General features: G+C 52.9%; 1 protein-coding gene across 10 annotated transcripts in view, besides 4 other annotated features; it reads right to left on the bottom strand.

Moving 5' to 3' along the window:
- The window catches only part of PPFIA4 (PPFI scaffold protein A4), a 52,246-nt gene extending 38,455 nt beyond the window's left edge, over window positions 1–13,791 (bottom strand). For all 10 annotated transcript variants that reach the window (NM_001304331.2, NM_001393952.1, NM_001304332.2 and 7 more), the window contains exons 1-2: window positions 13,653–13,791; window positions 1,040–1,672 (exon numbers count right to left, since the gene is read on the bottom strand). In NM_001304331.2, coding sequence (NP_001291260.1) covers window positions 1,040–1,273 — 234 coding nt within the window. In that variant the 5' untranslated portion in view covers window positions 1,274–1,672; window positions 13,653–13,791. The remainder of the gene's footprint in view (window positions 1–1,039; window positions 1,673–13,652) is intronic.
- Window positions 869–1,028: an enhancer, noted in NCBI's record as "active region_2340". NCBI's record gives its function as "activates an Ori minimal core promoter by ATAC-STARR-seq in GM12878 lymphoblastoid cells {active_cell/tissue: GM12878}" and the evidence as "EXISTENCE:reporter gene assay evidence [ECO:0000049][PMID:35858748]".
- Window positions 13,344–13,865: an enhancer, noted in NCBI's record as "H3K4me1 hESC enhancer chr1:202995545-202996066 (GRCh37/hg19 assembly coordinates)". NCBI's record gives its function as "activates a minimal SCP1, AML or CMV promoter by ChIP-STARR-seq in naive H9 embryonic stem cells {active_cell/tissue: H9 hESC(naive)}" and the evidence as "EXISTENCE:reporter gene assay evidence [ECO:0000049][PMID:30033119]".
- Window positions 13,344–14,001: a biological region, named in NCBI's record as "H3K4me1 hESC enhancer GRCh37_chr1:202995545-202996066".
- Window positions 13,692–14,001: a silencer, noted in NCBI's record as "silent region_1715". NCBI's record gives its function as "represses an Ori minimal core promoter by ATAC-STARR-seq in GM12878 lymphoblastoid cells {active_cell/tissue: GM12878}" and the evidence as "EXISTENCE:reporter gene assay evidence [ECO:0000049][PMID:35858748]".

Raw genomic sequence — 14,596 nt, 5'->3', positions numbered from 1 at the left:
ACAGCTGGCTTTCAATACCCATCTCTCTGCTCATACGAGGGGCAGAGAGGGCAGGATGTTCCCACAGTCACTGTGAGCACTGTCTCACAGACACACAACCCCCAGCCCTCTCTGGGTCTGGTTATCAGGCAGAGTTCACAGCTTCTTTGACAAGCAGCAGCTAAACAGCCCAAGAACCAAATCATCCAGGCTCCTGCTCCCTCCTGCATTCCCAGAGCATGCGCCATGCCTGGAATATCTACCAAGTGGGTGATAAGCAGGCATCAGCAGGGAGCTCCCAGGCCAATGCAGTGAGGGAGAAATAGGTGCAGTGGTGAGAAACTTAGCCCCAGGCTCAGTTCCTGCCTCCACCACACACTACCTGCATGGCCACGAGCAACTTACTCATCTCCCCAGCTTTAGTTCCGTGATTTGTACAATGGGATGATGGTGGTAACAGCACCAACTTCAGGGTTGTAAGAGTTTAGTGAGAGAATCCTTATAAAGTGCTTGGTCCACAGAAAGGACACAGTACACGGGACTACAGGACAGCTGGTGGTTGTGCTGTTGAGTGTGAGACAGGATGTCGAGACATCTGGCTGCTAGATTCAGCCCTGCCTATCATCTTCCATGTGATGTCTCTTGCTTTTTTGATCTATGCAATAACGGAGCTGGACGAGATGATCTCTAAGAACTCACCCATCTCTACTGTCTGTGATTCCCCACCCACCTCCAAGAATAGGGCACTGGAGAGGAGTACGCAGGGAGGAGGTTTCTTTCCAGTCTAGGGTGCCACCTACTGGCCGCCTGAGCTCACTGTAGCTGACACCTATGGCTGCGTTTTTCTACCCACATCAAATTCCATCCATTTCACCTTCCAGACTGAGGAGCATGGGAGTGACAGGGAAAGAATTCACGTAGAGAGATGAAGGAGAGTAAATGCTCAGTGAATTCCAATTATTGATATGCAAATAGATGCAGATGAGCTGAGGGCCCAGTGGATCTAGCAGGGCTAGAGGAGGGAAAGGGGTTAAGAGAGACGCAGGCCTTCGGGCCTTACCTGGGGGAGGGCGGAGTTAAGGTGGCGCTGGAGCTGGTCCCGCTCGTGTATGGCATCCTGGAGCCGGCTCTGTGTGGCCGCCAAGGTCTCCTGACTCTCCCGAAGAGACTCCAGCAACTTCTCCCGCTCGTCCAGCATGTTCACCATCAGCTGCTCGAAGTTGGCGTCAGCATCGGCGCCATGAGGGGGACCCAGGCGGTCCCCCTCATTGATTGTGGGCATCACCTCACACATGGTGGGGGTTGGCAGGGCCTTCTCAGCGTCAGGGGACAGGGAGGGACTCACAGGGTTGGCACCTCCAGGGGAACCCAGTGCATGGGTCTCAGAGTGGGCAGTGCCAGGCGAGTGGACAGGTGGGCAGGGGCTTCTCCCATAGCATCAGTTGCTTTTGCTCTGAAAGGGGCCTGGGGTCTGGAGTGCCCCTGTGGAACTGAGCCAGAAGGCCTGGCTTAACTTCTCAGGGCTGGGGCTGGGTGCCCTGTGTCCCCAGACATGCAGACAGCAGCCGAATGTGGCCATGACAGGCAGGGACAGCAGGGCTGGAAGATGGCCCTTCTCTTAGACTGAGTGCCGGAGGCTGGCAGAGTCCCAGCTGGATCTAGCGACACCCATCGTTTCTGGAGGGCAGTGTGTCTGTGGGAAAAGAGACTGCTGTGAGTACCAACTGGGTGGAGAAGGGCATCAGGGGAGGGGGTGGAGCAGAGGAGACAGGACCTGAACTAGAACATGGGGGAGGAGAGGGAGGTGCTGGCGCATGCCCCTTCTCCAGGCTTACTCACTCTGATGGCACCTCCTTAGTTCTCCCAAGGAATGCACATGCCTACTGCCCAGCCTCTGCCTCCCCCTGCTCCCCACAGCTGTCAGAAGTGCAGCCGCAGTGGCAGTGGTTCCCCTACCCACGTGGCTCACTGGCCAAATATAGAAATGATTCAGTCAGCGGCAGGGGAGCAGCCGGCAGGATGCCCAGAGTCCTCCTGAGACCTGGGGGTTGGAGGGGAGGAAATAGGGTCTCTGTGCCACCCCCAACCTTTTCCCCATCACTTAAGCCAACCAAGGCAAATGCAGATGGGTAGAAAGGACTCTTAGTGGGAGTGGCTGTGAGTCCTAAAGGCTGGACTCTTGGGGTCCTAGGAAACAGGGGCAGAGTAGTTCCTGCCCTGGATACTGGCACAACATGGCTAAGGGTTTGGAGAGGCACAGACTGGGTACTGGGGCAGGCAGAGAGCCCTGACCTGCTACATTGCCCATAATTCAGGGAGGAGGCTCTGGCTCAAGTCATTCCCCATTTCCAAAACCTGCCAAGGAGGACAGCACGCAGGCCTAGCAGACAGCAGGCTTGGATTCGGAGTTCACAGCCTCCTACCTTTGCATCAGAGCAGGGACTGAATGATGGAAAGGAACCCAGGGGTGATATAGAGGTGCAGGGTGCCACTCTCCTAGGGTGGGGCTACAGTGTGGCCCCTATCATGGCTGAGAATCTGCTCTCTTGGCGTCATTACCCATTGCTGACACTGCAGAAGTCACCAGTGAGGTCAGTCAGCATGTGCATAGCCTGGCTCTGCTGATACGTTGAGCCTGGCACAGGAGCCCAATGGTCAGAGCAAAGGAAGCCGGCGATGAAGTAACAGGAAAGTAATGAGAAAAAGGCCGCATGCAGCGAGGGATTTCTCTGCCTACAATCAGATTCCAACCTCCCTGTCTACGTTAGAAAGCTACCACCTTAGTCGTTTTTCAGAGAGGACTGTCTTCAGAGGTCCCAGTTGCAGGACAGAAGGGGTGTGAAGCCCTCAGCACAGCAATAGGCACACTGGAGGTGGCCCAAAAATGATATTTTCCCTCCTTCCCCTCTCTCTTATCTTATGGGAGACACAATGAAAGCCTTCTGTCTACCCTCGGGGTGAGAATAACAGGCAGACTAGGAGGGTCAGGGTGGACAAGAAGCATCAGGACCCAGTGTGAGGTAAGAGGTCAGACACTGCACAGGCCTGTGGCAGGACTGAACCCAGCAGGGAAAAGAGAGAAGGGCCGGGCCTCTCCTACCTGGACCCCCTCCCCAGAGTACTGATGCTCTAGGCAGAAACAGGGGAAAGGAAGAGGGAGACTAGGGAGCAATGTGGGGTCTAGATCTGAGGAAAGTTAGTGCACCAGCTTGAAAATTCAGAGCTCACACTCGCAGCCCTTCCCAGAGGGGCGCAGTAGTGCAAGCAGGCACGTGGGCATGCACACACACATGCCCCAAGATAGAAACACAGAGACCTAGAACAGATACACATGTGGCCACATACACACTCCCATGCATAGAAACTGGACACAAACTCTGGTCAAGGGGATCCTTCCCCAAGCCAGACAGCCACTGTGGAGGGCAGGGTCCCAGAAGGCTACAGAAGTAAAAAGTAGAAGCTTGGTCTGCCTCCTCCTTTCCCCAACACTGCTGCTGCCAGGGCAGCCTACTCGCACCTCCCTGCTCCTCAGAGCAGCTGGGAGTGGAGAGGAGGGGCTGCTGCCCCAGTCTGTCCAGAGCTGCCATCTCCCTGATGCTGATAACAGCCGTTCCTCCAATTCTCCCACCCACCATGCCCAGGTCCCTCCACCCTGAATGCTCCAGCCCTGAGGCTGAAAGGCCATATGGCCCCAGCCTACCCCCCCAAGCTCATCCACATCCAGGCCCACCTCCCCATCTTCCCCCACCCCTCCACACACACCAAGATGCCACGAGAGGCCAAAAGAGAAGACTAGGCTAGGGAAGGGGCCCCTTGTGGCAGAGGCTAACTTTGGAGAAGACTGTAGTGTGCCAGGAAGGAGCTTAGGTATCCCAGGAATGGCCCCAGCCCAGCAGATCCCCAGGCAGCCCGTAGCATAGCATAAAGGAAGAAGCCCAGAGCAGGGACTCAGGAGACTGGGGTACAGTCCTGCCACAGACCAGCTGGCTGATCTCAGGCTTGTTATCACCTACTGAGGCTTCGGCTACAAGACAAAACCCACAACCCTGGTTTTGCCTTCCTTAGAGGGATGAGATCATGGCTGGGCAGCAAATGAAGAGTAGAAAGCACCCTGTGATTGCACGGGAATGTGAATTACCTTAGTGTTGGCCACCTGTGGGTGGAGTTTTTAAAGCTTCTTACAGGAAAGGGGCTGGAGAAGTTCTCAGGAAGGAAGAACAGGACCTCAGGCTGCCCACTGTGAGGTACTGGCTATCTGGTCCAACTTGGCCTCCCCAAATCCTCCTGGTCATTTTAGCAACTGAGAAGCTGGCTTTGGTTGCTTCTCTTCTCACTAGCCCTTTCCTGGCCTCTCTCTAAACCAGGTGCCAGCGAGCAACTCCACTTCCCCTGGCCAAATGGCATCATGTAAAGCTGGTCTGAAGATAGCCCAGAGAGGACTGCCAGGCAAGATGCCCCTGAGATGACTGTCCAGGACCTCCTGCCCCTGTCCTCTCTGCTACACAGAAACAGTGAGCAGAAGGGAGCCCCAGGACAGCCACGTGGGGCACCTGGCTCCTTCCAGCTCCTTCTGGCTCCAGGGCCGTCTTTAAATAGCGCAATTATCATCTCAGCCTAACAGAAGCCTCCTCAACTCCCGCACAATTTCTAAGTAACACTCACAGGTCCTGATTCAGAGGCGAAAGCTGCCAGTCCCCAAAGCAAGCATTTGCAAGGGGCTTTGCCGGGGAGGAGTGTGGGCAGGCTGTGAAACAGAGGAAGAGGGCTCAAGAGTGAGTGGGTGTGAGTGTGCGTGTGTGGGGGTGGGGGATTGGACAAAAAGTAGGCCTTGGGCCTTTAGAAACACAAAAGAGGTAACTTGGGGGCCTCTTTGGCATCCCAAAAGTCACCCCCACCTTTTCCTAACACACAGGAGGGATGGGCATTTGGGTCTGTTGCTCTGGCTGGCCCCACACACAGGCCTGGCTCCCTCCTGCCTACCAGATGGCAGGCCTGGCCACGGAGAGAGCTGGACAAAGGCAAGGTTGCCAGCCCCTGCGGAGACCACAGCCCGGGGCAGGGCCGCTAGGAGCGTCTGAGGGGCTATTCAGCTGGGCAAAAAGGGAGCCTCCAGGTGGCAGCCACGAGGGAAAACAGGAGGGTCGGACACCCACCCAGCTGGAGGTGAGAGGAGGATCTGAAGAAATGGGGAGGGCGGGGGTCTTCCAGAAAAATAATGGTCGCCAGAGCTGCTGTAAGTCACTCACATTTACCATGTGCCCAGCACTGTGCTTCCAAGTGGTATGGATTAATTTATTTTAATCCTCATAATTATTTGCAAGGAAGATGTAATTATTCTTCCCATTTCACAGAAGTGAGAACTGAGATGCAACGTCATGTAACCAAGTCTACACAGCTAGTGAAATGAAGAACCAGGATTCAATTTGTCTGTCTCATGCCAAAGAGGGGTAGAAGGAGGAAGAAGAGAGAGGGTAAAGACAACTCCTTCAGACTTCATGTCTTCTCCAAGAAACCTTCCCCACCCTCATCAGGGTGATGGCAGCCGGAGGACAGCTCCCCTCGGCCTTCCCTGTCCTCCTCCTCCAGCCTGGGGAAGGCCTCTGCAGAGCAGCCAACATGGTCATGAGGCCATGGGTGACTGAAAGGCCCCACTGGAAGGCCCCATCCTCCACGCACCCAAATCTCTGCTCCCAGCCCCTAGCTGGCTCCACACCAAGTTGTAGGCAGCTTCCCTGAGTTCCCCCCACTGCCCCCCACTCCCATAGGCGCTGCAGAAACAGACACTCTTCGGAGCCCTCGTCCTTGGGGCTCTCAGACATTCTCCCCAACGTGGGCCTGCAGCCCAGCTGCCCATGCCTCAGGCTGCCCAGAAGCTTCTCCTTCTTCCCTGTCTAGCTTTGTACCCCCAGAAGCCTGGCCCTCACCCATCCTCTCCTCCAGAAATCCAGCCCTACCTCCTCTCCTGCTGCTCCCTAGCCCTTCCCTAGCCCTGCTCACTGAGGTCTGCTCCCAGGACCCACCTATAGCTCCTGTTTGCCCAGCTCCTCACTGGCCTGCCTCTCATCTCCCTTTCCATGTTGGTCTCATGAGCTTAGATCACCTTGCTAAGCTCATCTCAAACACCACTTCCTCCATGGAGTCTCTTCTGATCCCTCCAGTGTGTGAGATCTGCCCTTCCGCTGACCCAGCATTGCCCTCTAGTTATACCTCTCTTCAAGGGGCTTCTCTTACTTTACATCATCTCATCTGTAGACCCATCTCTGAGTACTCTAACACAGGGCCCTAACACCCATGGAACTGAACAGACCTGTGCTGACAGTCGTTCCAGGGCAGTCCATCCCTGACTGACTTCAAAGAAGGGGAACTCCAAAACAGGACTGACATGGCCACCTCCCGGGTTCAAGTGATTCTCCTGCCTCAGCCTCCGAGTAGCTGGGATTACAGGTGCACGCCACCACATCTGGCTATTTTTATTTTTTTTATTTTTAGTAGAGATGGCATTTCAGCATTTTGGCCAGGGTGGTCTTGAACTCCTGACCTCAGCTGTCTGCCCACCTCGGCCTCCCAAAGTGCTAGTATTATAGGTGTGAGCCACCACACCTGGTCTGAAAATTAAACCTTCTTGAGAGCAAGATGGGGGCTGCTCCTGTCTTGAAAGGCAGACTCCAGAGCAGCTGATGATGCAGGTGACCCTGGGAAGATCCTGAATCTCTCTGAGCTTCCATTCCCCAACCTCTGTGAATGGGAATGATAACAGTACCCACCTCAGACAGCTGGGACACAGGATGTCTAGAGTCAGCCTACACAAAGTGCTGAGATCAGCACCCAGCAAAACTCGGTAAGTGTTCATGAACTCTCAGCACCCTAGGCTCCCAAAGCGCCTCAAGGCTGGGCCCACTGAACTACAATAAGAAAATTACAAATCTATTCTGGCTACAGGAAGCCATTCCCAGAGAAAAAACTCTTGGAAAAGCCCCACTTAAGAGTTTCCACTGCTAGCCACAGATCCCTTCAAAAGCATCCAGTTCTCTGGGCCCCCAACACGACTAGCAGTGAGACTTTACCCCTCTGTGATCAGGTTCCCAAATCTGGAAAATGAACATTATAACACACAATACGCTCCAGTGCTCTCACAGGTTGTCATGAGGCTCAAAGAGGTAACAGACATGAAACAGTTCTGAGAAGTATAAAATGCCGCCCAAGCACAGGTTAGTACCAGCTGCCGAATACACTCAGCCTCCTAATGCCAGGCTCATTCAGGGGACACGGAAGGAAGCATCTGTTCAGACAGGCTCCCCTGGGCCTGAGTCTGTGAAGCCCAGCTCTCCAGCTGCTCCCCAGGAGTTAGACATGGGCCACCTCTTCCCAAGACATGGCCTATCACTTGAGTGAGCACAGAACTTACTGTCTAAACCATGATCCTCTTGGTTTAGAGGGTCATGGTTTAGACAGTAAACCACTGTTAACAATCACACCAGAACACAGGTTTCACCTAGCCATATGGTCACCCTTGCCATTGCCACCCTAGTAGGACTAATGTCAAAACTAATGGGGAAGGCCGGGCATGGTAGCTCATGCCTCTAATCCCAGCACTTTGGGAGGATGAGGTGAAAGACTGCTTGAGCCCAAGAGTTCAAGACCAGCCTAAGCAACATGGTGAGACATCCTCTCTTAAAAAAAAAAAAAAAAAAAAAATGTTAGCTGGGCACAGCGGCATGCGTCTACAGACTACAGTCCCAGTTACTCAGGAGGCTGAAGTGGGAGGATCACTTAAGCCTAGGAGATGGAGGCTGCAGTAAGCCAAGATCACACTACTTACTCCAGCCTGGGTAACAGAGCAAGACCCTATTTCAAAAACAACAACAACAACAAAAAAGCGGGGAAGGGAGAACTACAAGCCTCTGGGCCCCCATCCGCAAATAGTTCCTCTTCTGAAATACCCAAAATTATAGACATCACACCTACCTTTTTAACTTAAGACTGGTGTTTGCAAACTAGGCTTTACGACAAAGTACCTTTAGGGGCAGTCCAAGGCCAAAAGGAGGGTGAAGAGGTGTGACAAACTCAAAAGGCTCTAAATTCCCTTTTCTTACTTTAATCCCATCAACTCCTAATCTGTCCGTTTTATGGGACATCTGATTAAGGTTTCAATTGTATAAAAGGATTCCAAGTCCATGAAGAGGTTAGAAAATCCCTAGTTTAAATATTGTCTACAGAAGCCCCCTGCTAAAACACACACACACACACACACACACACACACGTTCTCTCAGAAAGGCTGTACATCAGTGCAACAGTGACAACCCTGGGAATGCTACACAAGTAACACCAGGAGCCAACCATTTTCCACACTCTAACTGTCTAATAGAGATCATATAGTTACTAAGTCAAAATATGAGTCTGCACCACCGAATACAGACACAGCTTTTGCTGAACTTACATCATTAAGTACATTCCCAGAGAAAACCCTAGACATCTTCTGCTAATCAGAGCCATTAATCAACACAAATGTCCTCAAATAATGTTTGCAGAAGAAGAAACAAAGTAATAAGCATAGCAAATTTGGAGAATAAAAATATTTCAAAACTAGGGATCCATGTGGGACAAATATTAAACAGGGTCCTCTGGTGGTAAAAAAATGCTCAAAGTCACTGCATTCGTAGATCAACCCATCAGATTAGGGAGCCATCGCAGAGGAGAGAAGAGGACGGGTCCGGAGTGCTAATAGGCACCAGGTGTAAAATGTCCAGAGTACAGAACTGCAGGGAGGAATGTAGGCATCATAAAAAATGTGCATTAGTATGTGGTCACAGAAGTGGCGGGCAGTACGAAAAGAGAATGGGGGGGTGTCATGTGTCGTCATGCAACAGAGTGTGTGTGTGATCATGAGAACGCATGGTATATATGTGTGGCCATGAAAAAGGAAGAGAAGCCAGTGCAGTGGTAGTTCATGCCTCGGGCATAAGCCCTCGGTGCAGTAGCACTTTGGAAGGCCAAGGCAGGGAGATTGCTTAAGCTCAGGACTTAGAAACCAGCCTGGGCAACATGGCAAAACCCCATCTCTACTAAAAATATGAAAACTAGCTGGGCATGGTGGCATGCACCTGTATTCCCAGCTACTCGGGAGACTGAGGTGGGAGGAGCACTTGAACCCAGGAGGTTGAGGCTGCAGTGAGCCATGATCATGCCACTGCACTCCAGCCTGGGCAATAGGGAGAGAGAGGGGAAAAGGGGACCGAGAGAGAGAGAGAGTATATGTTGTATGTATGTCTGTGTATAAAGGTATGGTCATAAGAATGGCATCCTGAGAGCACAGGCATGAGAGCAAGTAGGTATATAGACTCATGACAGTGTGTAGATGTGTGTGGTCATAAGTACATCAGGGATCTTGACTGCATATAATTGTGGTCATGAGAACACATGTGTGGGTACACAGCCATGACAGTAAATGTGTGTGGTCATACATGCATAAGCATCTGGGATTCATAACATCATACATGCTCCCAGGAGCACATGGGAGCTGTGAGAGCTTGTGCAAGTATGCGTGTGTGATCATGAAAGTGTATTGCTGCTCATGAGACAGCGTAAGTCCACGTGTGGCCTCGAACCTATGTGAGAAGGTATAATCGAGAGAGGAGGGAGGGATGGGGTGATACTGAAAGAATGAAAGCTCCACTTACTCCAGGGGCTCTGCCCCAAAGTAGGACCAAAAATTTGGGGCACTCCACAACTAGCCTAGTTTAAGCTGAAGTCATGGAACTGGGGCCATCCCATCTTTCTACCTACCCCCACCCATCAGGGATGCACTGCACCATCTCCCAAGCCCAGGCCTCCATGTCCATGAGATTTCTGGGGTCACCCCCCTGCATGTCCCAAAATGCCCACTCCTCACGGAACAGCTCATGCAAAGCTCCAGGCCCGGCCCCACTCCCCAGGCCTCCACTCCCAGCAGCGCTCCTCTAGGCCAAAGGAGAGCCATCTTCTGAAGCAGCTGCTGAGGCCCTCTCCCATCCAGCCTCACCTCACACCTGGACTCAGAAGGGCTCTCGGAGGTCACACAGGCCACTTCCCACCCTGTGTGGGAGTTCCTTTCACAACATCCCTGGCAGCCCAGTCTTGACTTGATTATCCTTCAGGAACAAGCAGCTCACTATCAAATGAGGAAGGCTTCATCGTTCTAAGGAAGCTTTTTCTTAAATTGAATGGAAAACCCATCTCTCTTTGAAATGACAGTTATCTATCTGAAGACAGTGGCCATGAAGGCACATCAAGTATATATCTAACTTATGAGAATTCAACTCTTAACAGCTGGGCGAAATAAGCAATAAAGGCCTCTAAAATCAAATCAGCTATTTCATCTGACACTTCACTACAAAATCATATTGTGCGTATGCACTCTTTGTAAAATCACTCTACAGTAGTATATACAGTATCTATTTACATAATATAGAATACATATATACCATATCTATACATTCATATTACTGTTCAGGGTTATAAACCCATATGCCATGCTTTATGAGAGACTGGGAAGTTTTCACTTCATCTACTGCCCACAGAATCTAATGCCCCCAAAGGGATGTAACACCAGTGTCCTGGGTCCCCAGAGGCTTCGCTGCTCCAGGTTAAATATCTCCAGTGGCAAGGAGGCCCTGCTTCATGGAACTCAGGGGATCAGAAGACAGACCTCTTCAATTCAATCCAATGATCACTTACTGAGTGATTTCCATGCATCCGATACTGTTATGAAAGCAAAAGACATGTAAGACAGAAAGTTCACAGGCTACTTGAGAGAACACAGATACACATGTAATCACTGGAGAGCAGTACAGAGAAGCATGTGACCAAACACTCAGTCTCTGGCACAGCCAGGGGGTCAGTGCTGAGCACCACGTGGAGTTTGACCAACGGAATTAACTGGTGGCAGCTTCTCCTCCAACTCTCTCAGAACGAAGCATCCCCAGCCAAGGCCTCTCAGCCACCAAGTGAAAGGCAGATGGCTATTCCACGCTACAGCTGACTTCACCTGGGGGGATGGAGACACCTCAAGGAGGCCCCGAGGTTGCAGCACCCGAGCCTCTCTGAAGGCAGAGCAATGAGCTGGGCAGCAATCGTGCTTCTTGTGCAGTGGGCCAGCAGCCAGGCAACAAACGGGGAGGTCTCAGGCTCAGACCAGCCCTGGAGTCTCCTGCCATCCTCGCTTAGAGCTCCTTCCCCCACTGCTGTTTCCCCCACCAGCCCTGTCCCTGTGACATTCTCAGTTGCCTCAGGCCCCTCCCAGTACAGCAAATGCAGAGGGTCCCCTAGAAGCAGCCCCTTCCACAGTACATCAAGGACCATGGTCCCTCTGAATCCTCCACTCTGCTGGCCACCCGAAGTCCCACGCTCCTGTGAGCCAGCACCGTATGCCCTCCAGAGCTAATTATAGGTCCGTGAGCTAGCAGGCCAGAGGGGGACAGATGGTGACTTCATGTGGCTGCAATACACACTTGTCCCTCCCTCTGACCCCACTCCCTCCCCTCCATTTCTCTCAATTCCCTACGTAGGACCCAGACTTTGAGGCAGCTTTCACTCCCTCAGTCCTCCCTGCTCCTCACCTCTCCTCCTCTCCAACACATGCACAAGCACACACACTCACACACGCGTGTGCACACACACACACACCCCATACCACTCAATTGCCACACCTTGTTTCTACAGCAACTCACCTATGGAGCCAACACAGTAGGGCCTAAAGCCCAGGGAAGAATGTCCTTGGCATTCGAAGGCCTCGGCTAGCTGCCCATATCTTAAAACCCCCTTAACACCCAGCTCCCCAGCCCTGCTGAGCCTTCATCCCCACCTCATCACCACCACAGCCTGACTACTCATTCTCTTGCCTAGCTCTAGCTCTGCCATCCTCAGAGGCTCTGTGAGGACCTATAAGCCATCCCTGACAACTCTTTCCAACTCTAAGATTTCAGCAATCAACTCAGAGATGAGACCCAGGAGCCTGGCTGCCTGCCATGCCCTGCCCCTCCAGCCCTCCTTTACAGCCCAGCAGCCAGACCTCATGCACCACACGGTTCTGACATCACGACATGCTCAGCAGCACAAACCCCAACTCCACTGGATGCGAATTCCCTTCTACACCCTCCTCCCCCACACTATTCCATCTTCCAGAGATGGCGTCTCCCACTACACAGAGTGTCTAGGACATTCTTGGCCCCCAATAACCATTTTGTCATTCATTATCTCCTTACTTTGAGATACCGTTTACCCCACGAAGCCTCCTCAAGCCTCAGGACAAAATCTGAGAAAATAACCAAGGGAAATCATTCAAGCTGCCCTTTTGCTTAGGCAGCTTCCCTGGGACTACCTGGCCAGTTAATAGTGGTAGGGGGTGTGTAGGTTGGAGTCTAATTCAGACAGCTGTTTGAAAGCACGTGGACACAGTTCTTTCTTTTTCTAATCCAACAGCAATGTAACAGAATGGGGATGGGCGGTGAGAAGGGTGTTAACAGAATACCTGCTATGTGTGCCTCCTATGTGTACCTTTCAGCTACTCCGTGGCTGTAAATTGCCTTCAGAAGACCTAGCACCGAGCATAGTATCTGGCAGATAGTAGGTGTCCAACAAATGTTTGCTGGATGTTGAGCAAAGTACTAGGTACCAGATCCAAGAACTCTGGAAAGGACTATGGGAAATCCCTGAAACCTGGCTCCTGGAGGGGACCCTTAAGCTCACACCAGGAGGGGATCTCCCTGCGAAGCAGCGCCTCCTTAACCACTTGCTCTCCACACAGAACGGCCCCAACTCTCCTGCTCCTCTGATGGAAACTACCAGCACACCTCTCCTCAAAGGTGACATCAGCTCCTAGTGGCACCTTGTCCTGGATCCCTCCTCCTTCTCGAAGAAAACCACCTACACCATGTCTCCAAGTCCTCCAGCCCGACCTCTCTCTTCCCACCCACCATCAAAACCTCAAAATCTGCGCTGGAAAACATCCCTACTGCGTGGACGTAAGTCAGCGCCCCACTCCCACCCTCCCAGTTCAGGCATCTCTATTCCAGCCCTCTTTTCCTGTTGCGCCCACCCCTGTCCCCACCCCCACCAGGCCTCGGGTTGGCCGCTCCTTCCACCCCACCGCCCTGGCACTGCGGAGATGGGGGCATCTCTGGCACAGACTGAGGCTGGCAGTTCGAGGAATGGAGAGCTAGCGACAGGAACAGGGGTGCTATGAGCAACTCGGGAAAGATTAAGACCCCCGCGAAGAGCGAAGACCTCAGCCCATCAGAATCGCGTCCCCAAAGGAGTGGGGTTGGCCCCGGAGCCGAGAGGCGCTTTTTCTGACTCTCCTGGAGGGGAAATGGGGGCGCAGTCTGCTCCGTTCCCACCGGGAGACTCGCCAACTCGGCCCCCTCCCCTGAAGCCGATGGAGCAGAGGGCGCACTCCACGCCCTCCCCGCAGATCAGGCATCGCCCCTATCCTCACCCCCAAGGGCACAGGGCACCGCAAAGGAGGGCGAGGGGCGGCAGGGTAAGCAGTACCGACGCCTGCCGGAGGTAGCACATACGGAGTCAAAAAGGGCTGTTTCCCGAGGTGCGATAGACGAGACCCCTCCCCAAACTGTCGAGGGGAGCTGGAGATGGGGAAAAGACGCATCCTACCCCAGTCCAGGCTCTGGGCGCTCACCTGCCTGCAAATGCCGAAGGCCAGGCGGCTAGGCTCGGAAGCAGCAGGGAGCCGCCCCCGACCCGTGCAGCCCGACACGTCCTAGAGCCGAGCCGGCGCCGAGGTAGCTGCAGCCTCCGCCGCCCAAGCGCGCGGCCGCGGGGCCCCGCCCCCTTCCTCCGCGGACAACCCCCCCCGGCTCCGCCCCCTAGGCGGGGCTGGGCTGCCGCGACCGAGGCCACGCCTCCCGCCCCCAAGCGCCTCGGGTCCGGGCACGTGACGAGAGCGCCGCTTTGAGGCCGCGCGCCATCTTGGTTCAGCCTAGGAGGTGGCGAAGTGCCAGAGTTTTATTCCGCAGAAGGGTCTCAGGGCCCAGGAGTGCTGCCCACATTCTGCCCCTCCCTCTGAACTCGCCCTTGTTCCTAGTCTAACAGCCCGTTCCCTAAATTGGCCTTAGTCTCGGCCTTGTAATTGTCAAGTTTGTCACCTTTCACGCTTGCTCTCCTGCCCGTTCCTTGCTTTTCCTTTGATCGCACCCATTTTTTAAGTGGGGAAACTTGATATCCGGATACTACATCTGTAGTATGCTCTTCAGTGAATTGTGTCGCTTGCCTTCAGGCACCTGGCTGTTCTAACACTGTTACTACAAAATGAAGGGTTTGTCTATTACATATACATAGTATGAAAACAAGTCTCAAATGCCAAAATTCCTGACTGACAAATTTTAGCTAAGCCTCTCCATTTTCCTGAATTGCTCCCTTACCCTGCCCCCTGTGGCTATTAATGCATCTTTTCCATCTGCTTTGTGAAGTTTCATCACAGTGCCTACTCAATCCTTTACCAATACCCAGTAAGCACCACTAAAAGTGTGAACAATTTTTATATACATGCAATGTGTTCATGTGTGTGTATTTATAGATATATACACAGCATGTTCTATATCAGCAGCAAATGCTATAGTTGAG

This window comes from Homo sapiens, chromosome 1 (genome assembly GCF_000001405.40).
Source record: "Homo sapiens chromosome 1, GRCh38.p14 Primary Assembly".
NCBI classification, from domain to species: Eukaryota; Metazoa; Chordata; class Mammalia; order Primates; family Hominidae; genus Homo; species Homo sapiens.
The sequence above is the reverse complement of the archived record's forward strand: the minus strand, read 5'-3'. Positions and strand labels throughout refer to the sequence as shown.